We start from the raw sequence: 9,164 nt of genomic DNA, 5'->3' as shown, positions 1-9,164 counted from the left end.
ATTAACTTTTTGAGCCCAGAGGTTGGGTCTTTCACCCCTGGGTAGAGCCAATGTTTGGCTTTCCATTTTCTCTGCTCAGAGCTCCGGAAAGTTACCCCAGAAGTGAAAGCATACTGCTGTAATTCTTGGAGGAGTAATATAAAGAAAGAGCAACATGGCGATTCAACCCAGATTTTAAGCTCAAAAATCTCATGCATTGGAATAAAGACAGGACTTAGGATCTTATTATGGTTTCTGCTCTTCCTTAATTCTGCTAACTTAGTGAATATAACTGCAGCACTTAGTGGATATAAGATTGAAGGAATACGTGGAGAGGGACAGGCTTCAGAAGTGGAAAAAAAGGGAGGGCACTGGAGAGCAAGAGCCAGGTGGGTGGTGCAGAGAGTGGAAGGTTTGACTTTTGAGATCCATTGTGAGAAGCAAGAGAAGTGAAGACAAGAGGAAGGGTTTGAAAAATGGTTGTGATGGCTTATGAACTGAGTTTCCTTTCATGCTTTTTGAATGGAGTTATTTTTGAATTACTTCTGATTATTAGTCTGCAAAGATTAAGCCATAAAGGACTCTAGGATATATTAAAGTTCATGTCTTTTGGCTTAGGCTTCCACCTCAATATTTTTGAGCTTTCAGTCTTCTCTCCTCATTTTTCTCCGTGTAATTTACAGTTAAATAACATGAGCCCCATTTCCACAGAGCTTCAGGAAGTTCACTACTTGCTCCAATATTTATAAGATTCCAAAGGTGCTTCGGTTCCCAGGTAGCTGCCTATCACCTCTCACTTCAATCTCCTTCTAGCCCAATTCTATGCTTTTTAAATTCAATTTTTAATAAAGTAATGTATGCAGTAGTTTAAAACTCAAATATTAAATAACTTATAATAAAAAACAAATGTCCACTAAGCATCCCCTGTTCTACAGTCCAACTCCCCATAGGCAATGACTTTCAGCTCTTTTAGCCCTTGCTTTCTTGTACCTTCCTCTATATTTCTAAATAAATGGCCACATTGCTATTTGTTAATGTATCAATTTTAGACATTATGTATTGACATTCTGTTATGACAGATGAGGATTTAGCTCTTTCATTCTTCTCCCACCTTCATGCCACTTACCTTCTCTTTCTAAACTCTTGTTAAAATTACACAAAAATGGTTGGTTCAATCAACAGTTAGGATTGACATTACTATGGCTATGAAGTAGAATTTCTAGCCAAGAACTATATCATTATTGTTTTGTCTCTTGTATATCATTTTGCTTTTTTTTCTAGAGTTAATATTTTCCTCATTTTTTTCATTTGCTTACTTTTCTTATGTGCTTATATATATTTTTTCTGTACTAAATTCATCAATACTATTTTCCAAATGGTCAAATACATAATCTATACATTGATTATTTTTTCATGGGTTCTTTTCTCCCTTCTTATGCTTCCTTCTGCACAGTTGTTCTCATCTGTCATCTTATCTGTAAATTTTCTTTTTATGTTCTTGTGTTGGATCCACTGGAAACCTGGTGATGTGGTTTGGCTCTGTGTCCCCACCCAGATCTCACTTTGAATTGTAATAATCCCCACGTGTGAAGGGCAGGACTAAGTGGAGGTAACTGGATTATTAGGGCTGTTTCACCCATGCTGTTCTTGTGATAATGAGTGGAGTCTCACAAGACCTGAATTTTTTTTTTTTTTTTTTTTTTTTACGGAGTCTTGCTCTGTCGCCCAGGCTGGAGTGCAGTGGCGCAATCTCGGCTCACTGCAAGCTCCACCTCCCGGGTTCACGCCATTCTCCTGCCTCAGCCTCCCGAGTAGCTGGGACTACAGGCGCCCGCCACCATGCCCGGCTAATTTTTTGTATTTTTGGTAGAGACAGGGTTTCACCGTGTTAGCCAGGATGGTCTCAATCTCCTGACCTCGTGATCTGCCCACCTCGGCCTCCCAAAGTGCTGGAATTACAGGCTTGAGCCACCGCGCTGGGCCAATCTGATGGTTTTATAAGCAGCTTCCCCCTTCTCTGGGCACTCTTTCTCTCTCCTGCCACCTTGTGAAGAGATGCCTTCCACCATGACTGTAAGTTTCCTGAGGCCTCCCCAGCATGCTGAACTGTGGGTCAATTGAAACTATTTTCTTTATAAATTACCCAGTATTGGGTATTTTTTCATAGCAGTGTGAGAATGGAATAATATACCTGGGAAATTCTTTCTTTAGTCCCTCACTTTGCTGGAGCACATGTTCTTAGAGTCCTAAAAAGTTGTTCATGGTGATAATTGTTTGTTTGAAATCTTACTTTTTGAAAAGTGGCTTTAATCTATCTTTATACTTGTTGGATAATATGGCTCAGTATATAATGCTGGGCTGCAAATCACTTTGCCTCTGAATATTGAAGTTATTTTGCCATTGCTTTCTAACATTCAGGGTTGTTGAGAAGTCTGATTTTATTTCATTTCATATCCTTTGTGAGGGATGTTTCCTCCCACCCCTAAGAAAATGAGAGGATTTTTTAATTTTACTTCCTACTGCTCCAAAGTTTTATAATGAAGACCCCTCACATTTGCCTTTTATCATTCTGGACACAGTGGACTATTCTTTTACTTTGAGGATTCTAATATCCTTTTGGTTGTAGAAATATTCTATTATAAATTTTAAAATTACTTCTTTTCCATTTTTTTTTCTATTCCATTAATCTATTTTGAGGCTTTCTAGTTCAACACCCTAAGTTTTTAACATATATTTTCCTCAAAATTTTATCTTTTTGTTTTATTTCTTCTACTTTCTGAGACGTCTTTTTCATTTTTGTCATCCAACCTGTTTTACAATTTAAATTTTTGACTAATAGGTCGTGCACTGTGGCTCATGCCTATAATCTCAGCACTTTGGGAGGCTGAGGTGGGCAGATCACCTGAGGTCAGGAGTTTGAGACCTGCCTGGCCAACATGGTGAAACCCTATCTCTACTAAAAATATAAAAATTAGCTGGGTGTGGTGGCGGGCACCTGTAATCCCAGCTATGCAGGAGGCTGAGGCAGGAGAATTGCTTGAACCTGGGAGGTGGAGGTTGCAGTGAGCTGAGATTGTGCCACTGCACTCCAGCCTGGGCAACAGAGCAAGACTCCATCTCAAAAATAAATAAATAAAAATAAATAAATAAATAAATGTTGACTAATAATATCCCAGTTTTCTTCTAATTGTTTCTTCTCCAATCTTAGCTATGAAGCATCCTGTCTTTTAAAAATATATATCCACAATGGTTTTTTAAATCTCTCCAGTTTTATTATTCTCTCTTATTCACAAAAGCTTATGGCTTTCTTTTCTTCTTTTTATTTTTTTCAGTTGCTTTATTGTGGTATCTTCCCAAATGTTGAGAGCTTTTGCTGTGTTTTGGGTTCTTCTCATGGTGGAGTGTGATGAGACTCAATGGAAAGCCCCATTTCTCATATCTGGCTGTCCATTAACAGACAGCAGCAAGGGTTACAAAGCTGATGAGAAGCACTGAAGGCGTGGATGGAACACAAGGATAGGTAATATTCAAGCTACTGGGATTCGCAGCTATCTCCATATCTAATATCAGTGTCTGGAGGCCTTTAATTTGGGCTTCTTAGGTTTCTCAAAAGAGGACTTATCTAATCTCCTGGCTGGAAGGGCTATTTCTAGAGATAGAAATTTCACATAAACTCCTGTTTTCAACTTCTGACCTCTCTGTTGATAAATGTCTTGAGCCTTCTTCATATGACTTCTTCTGAGAATACACCACTGGGTCTTGTGTGTGTGTGTGTGTGTGTGTGTGTGTGTGTGTGTGTGTGTGTTTGCATGTAGGCAGGTGGGTGGGGAGGGTTTTTCCTTAGGTTGCTCTCCTTTGGGTGCTCTGTCTCTGCCCTAGAGGAAGTCATTGTTTCCTATTTGCTATTATTGCTATTATTCCTATCTGCTATCCTGTATTCTTTAGAGCAAGGGTCAACAATATTTTTCTATAAAGTGTCACAGAGTAGCTATTTTAGGCTTTGCAGGTCATTCTGCCTCTGTCACAATCATTCAACTGCATACTGCAGTGTAAAAGCAGCCATGGGCAACATACAAACGAATGGGCAAGGCCAGATTCGGCCTGCATGCTGACCCCTGCTTTAACCTGCTCTTTACCTCTTAGTTGGCAATTCCCTGTTGCTAGTTAATAGTTATTTATATTCAGTTTTTCCTGTCCAAATTACCAGTGTGATTTCTGTCTCCTGATTGGACTCTCACTGATAAATGATACACCATACTGACATTCTAGGCAAGGGCTTGGCTTGGATGCCTTGTGCCATTGGAGAGGATCTGGATCTGACAATTCTGGCCAGCAATTATGAGAGAGAGAGGAAGAGGGAAAGAGAGAGAGAGAGGGAGAGAGAGAGAGAGGGAGAGAGGAGAGAGAGAGAGAGGGAGAGAGAAAGAGAAAGAGAAAGAGAGAAAGAGAGAGAGACAATGAGAATGAACAAATTAATGACAGCCCTAAATAATCAAACTAACATTTTAAGCAAGACTTTCTTTTCTGTAGAAAGAAATTGTGACAGCAGTAAAAAAAATTCTTTTTCTTGTCAATTATAAACCAAAAGTTTCACAGAATTTTTCTCTAGTTATCCGCTCTATAATATATTCACATTTATTTTAATTTCCCCAAGACCTTCAGGTAAAATCAAGAAAGATGTGGGGTATTTTTCCTGGGGCTCTCTCTTCTCCTCAGCTCAGAATGGTAATAGCCCTGGGGATCCTGTGTTGAATGCTCCCTGGAATGGCCGTCTCACCCCCTCCCTAAGCTTTCCTTAGGCAGAGTACAATGCAATTGATTAGTTTTCCACTTCCTAAATTGCTGTCAAGTTCCAGACTCATCTCCCTGAGATTATTCCCATCATCTTTATTGGAGGTTTGGGTGTCTGCAAATTCTTCGGTGACACACATACAGGCTGTCTTTTGCTTTATGATCACAGATGGCTAATCACAATCATACTGTATATTTTACTAGTTTAATTCTCAGAGGGTAACCTCTTTTCCAGGATTTTTGTCTCTCCATATATTGCAAATACCAAGAACATGCTCTCTGATTAAAAAAAAAAAAAGTGACAGAGAATGCTTAGCCCAAGGCTATCCCAAAGACATGGCTCTGAGATCTGAAATTCAGAACCTTGCTTGAGATGTTTAGGCAGGCTCCCTATGGCTTTTAATTCATGTGATGAGTTAGGGAGAGACGCGAAAGAAAGAAACATGCTCACAGGCAAGCCTGATGTAAAAGCAATAGCAGTTGGCAAAGCCTTTGCCCTAACTGCCCATCAATTTTTCTCTTCATTATGATACAAGCAGGGAAGGTTGTAAGATCAAGTGTTTTTAAGTGATGAATTAAGACAGAGTGATAAGCAGAAGGTGCCTTATTGCTGGTGTCAGATTTAAACCTCTGAAGAGAAAAAGGGTTTAGGGGGAACATTATTTTTCCCTTGCTTAGTTAAGTTGTGGAGTTGAGAGTTGGAAGCGACCTGGGTCACCAGCTGAGTGCTTTCTACTGCTCCCCCTTCCAGTCTAGACCAACAAATCCTCTTTTGTAGATAGAATGGAGGGACCAAAAAATGCCCCACAAGAATTTGAAATAGGTAAGATTGTTCTCTGAGAGTGACGCTATAAAACTGACTTAGATCAGTGTGAAAAAGTACAAAGTCATCTTAGAAATAAAATGTTTTCTAGTCTAAGACACAAAGATGAATTGACTGTAGATTTTGAAACAGGCAAAGAAAGAAAATACTTACCAGAAAGAAGTTGAAGGGGTGTAATGCCTGGCTAGGTTCCTTTATTCTGTGGGAGGGACCTCCACCTGTGAAGCCCTCCCTCTGTCCCTCTCCCCACCAAAATGGGGCTGCGAGCATCAATCTTTAGCATCTTTGCGTTCATCTTGTACTTTTATTCCATGCTTACCAAGTAAATGTCTTCTCATAACTTTGTTTCCTGTGTGGATTTGCCTACAGAGAGTGGCTTGATTCTCAAACATCCCTATCATATCTGCTTGATGGCTATTTAATCACTGGAAATAAACAAATTAGCAAAGTGGTATTTGTGAACTTGGTTGATTTGTATCTGAAACTGGAGGTGCTAACAAGTCAGTTGTCTGCCTTGTTAGATTAAGGAATCCCCGTGGGGACCAGCTGGGCTCTTATGACACTTTTACATAATCCTTACACATTTCTGAATCTTTTTCAGATTATGGCATACGTTCATTACTTTTATTGCCTAGAAACTTAATTTTAGGGGAAGAAGTTGATTAAACTAGAACCATTAGGAGAAGAAGAATACTATAATAATTAAGAGCTTAAACTTTGTGTTTAGACAACATGGATTGAAGCCCTTGTTCTCTCACCTTTCTTCATAATGCCCAGAGATACCTTCCCTTCCTCTTGCTCCTGCTCTGGCCATGTGATGTGCTTTCTCCTTCACTTTAACCTTCAGCAATGATTGTAAGCTTCCTGAGGACTCCACAGAAGCCACAGGTCTCTTTGTATTCAAGTTGTTTCATCTATAAAGTGAGGATAATGCAAGTATTTATGTAATAGGGTTGTTGTGAGGATTAAATGAGATGTGCTCATACAATACTTATCACAATGGCTGGCACCTGGTAAGGGCTCAAAAAATTTTAGCTGTCTTCATAATACTTACCATTATCAACCAGTTTTTCTCCTTTTTAAACATCATAGGCATGTGTTACTGTCATCAGAGTTTAGATCAGTCCAAGAGAATCAGTGTTAATAACTGAGTTGAAAACACCTCTGACCAAAAACAATAAAATTCTACAAATTTGTATTGAGTACCTACTATATGCCATGCATTGTTCTAGTATGAATTAAAAGTAAACAAAACAGTAAAAAGGAAATAATCTAATTAAAATATAAAATTTAATTTTGAATAGTAAAAAGTGAAATGAAAAGAGGATAATAATTGTGAGATAAAGACTATGGTGGTCAATGTTAAGTAATAGAGTCCCTCTATCAGTTTAGATAGAGCAGTATCAGATAGACGAGAGTGAAATACTTTTAAAGAAAGTGACTTCTGGGCTGAAACCCAAAAGGTAAAGAGTCAGCCATTAAATATCTGGATGAAGGATTCCCATAAGTATAGCCTAGAGGAGATGGTTTAAATGTTTCCCCCAAAGGTCATGTGTTAGAAACCTAATCCCTAATGCCACAGTGTTGAGAGGTAAGATGATTCGTGTCCTTATGAATGAATGCTGATATTAAGGGATGAATTAGTTATCTTGGGAGTGGGTTCCTAACACAAGGATTAGTTTGGTTCCCTTCTTCAATCTCTCTCTCTCTCTTTCTCTCTCAGGCTTTCTCACCATGTGATGCATTCTGCTATGTTATGATACAGCAAGAAGGGCCTCACAAGATGTGACCTCTTGTTCTTGGACTTCTCAGCCTCCAGAATCATGAGGTAATTAAACTGCTATTGTTCATAAATTATCCAGTCTGTGGTATTCTGTTATAGCAACACAAAATGGACTAAGACAGGAGAGAAGGAGCTTGACTTTTTTCTTGGACTAGAAAGAAGGACAGTGAGAATGGAAAACTATAAATAAGTTGGAAGATGATATATATTAGATATGATATACATTGGAAAACCACCCAAGTCTCATGTTGAGTTGCAATCCCCAGTGTTGAAGGTGGGGCCTGGTAAAAGGTGACTGGATCATGTGGGCGGTTTTCTCATGAATGGTTTAGCACCATCCCCTTGGTGCTGTTCTTGTGATAGTGAGTTCTTATGGGATCTGGTTGTTTAAAAGAGTGTGGCACCTCCCCCACCTCTTTCTCCTGCTCTGGTCATGTGATTTGCTTGCTCCTCCTTCAACTTCTGGCATGATTGTAAGCTTCCTGAGGCCTCCACAGAAGCCAAGCAGATGCCAGTATTATGCTTTCTGTGCAGCCTGCAGGACTGTAAGCCAATTAAATTTCTTTTCAAATTATCCAGTCTCAGATTTTTTTTATAGCAGTGCAAGAATGGCCTAGTACAGAAAATTGGTACTGAGGAGTGGGATATTGGTATAAAGATGCCTGAAAATGTGGGAGCAACTTTGGAATTGGGTAATGGCAAAGGTTAGAAGAGTGTGGAGGGCTCAGAAGAAAGCAGGAAGATGAAGGAACATTTGGAATGTTTTAGAGACTGGTTGAATGGTTGTGACCAAAATTGCTGATAGTGATATGGACAATGAAGTCCAGGATGCTGAGGTCTCAGATGGAAATGATGAACTTATTAGGAACTGGAGTAAAGATAACTTTTGTTACACCTTAGCAAAACACTTGGCTACATTATGTCCATGAGCTAGGGGTCTGTGAAAGTTTGAACTTGAAAATGATGACTTAGGTTATCTAGTGGAAGAAGTTTCTAAGCAGCAAAGTGTTCAAGGTGTGGCCTAACTGCTTCTAATAGCCCATGTTCAGATGTGAGAATGAAGGAATGACTTAAAATTGAAACTTAAAAGGGAAGCAGAGCAAAGAGTTTGGAAAATTTGCTGTCTGGCCGTGTGACAGAGAAAGAAAAAGCTTTTTTGGGAGAGGAATCTAAGCAGGAGGCTGCAGAACAACTACTTACTAGAAAGATTTGCATAACTAAAAAGAAGACAACTGCTGATAGCCAAGACAATGGGAAAAAGGACTTGAAGGCATTTCAGAGACCTTTGCAGCAGCCCTTCACATCACAGGTTGGAGGTCTAGGAGAGAATAATGTTTTGTGGGTTTATTAATCCATGCTCACACTGCTATAAAGAACTGCCCAAAACTGGGTAATTTATAAAGAAAAGGTATTTAATTGACTTACAGTTCCACATGGCTGGGGAGGCCTCAGGAAACCTACAATGCCAGAAGGGAAAGCAGGAATGTCTTACATGGCAGCAGGCAAGAGGGAGAGTATGTGACTGTGAAGGAGGAATGGTCAAACACTTATAAAACTATCAGATCTTGTGAGAACTCACTCACTACCACAAGGACAGCATGGGGGAAACTACCCCCATGATCCAATCACCTCCCTCCCTTGACACATGGGGATTACAGGTCCCTCCCTTGACATGTGGACACATGGGGATTACAATTTGAAATGAGATTTGGGTGGGGACCCAGAGCCAAACCGTATCACTCTGCCCCTGGCTTCTCCCAAATCTGTCTTTTCTCAAATCTCTTCACA

General features: G+C 39.6%; 1 annotated feature.

Moving 5' to 3' along the window:
- Positions 8,361–8,902: an enhancer, noted in NCBI's record as "NANOG hESC enhancer chr14:88228569-88229110 (GRCh37/hg19 assembly coordinates)". NCBI's record gives its function as "activates a minimal SCP1, AML or CMV promoter by ChIP-STARR-seq in primed H9 embryonic stem cells {active_cell/tissue: H9 hESC(primed)}" and the evidence as "EXISTENCE:reporter gene assay evidence [ECO:0000049][PMID:30033119]".

This window comes from Homo sapiens, chromosome 14 (genome assembly GCF_000001405.40).
Source record: "Homo sapiens chromosome 14, GRCh38.p14 Primary Assembly".
Lineage (NCBI taxonomy): Eukaryota > Metazoa > Chordata > Mammalia > Primates > Hominidae > Homo > Homo sapiens.
Note: the sequence above shows the minus strand (reverse complement) of the source record. Positions and strands in the feature narration are given on the sequence as shown.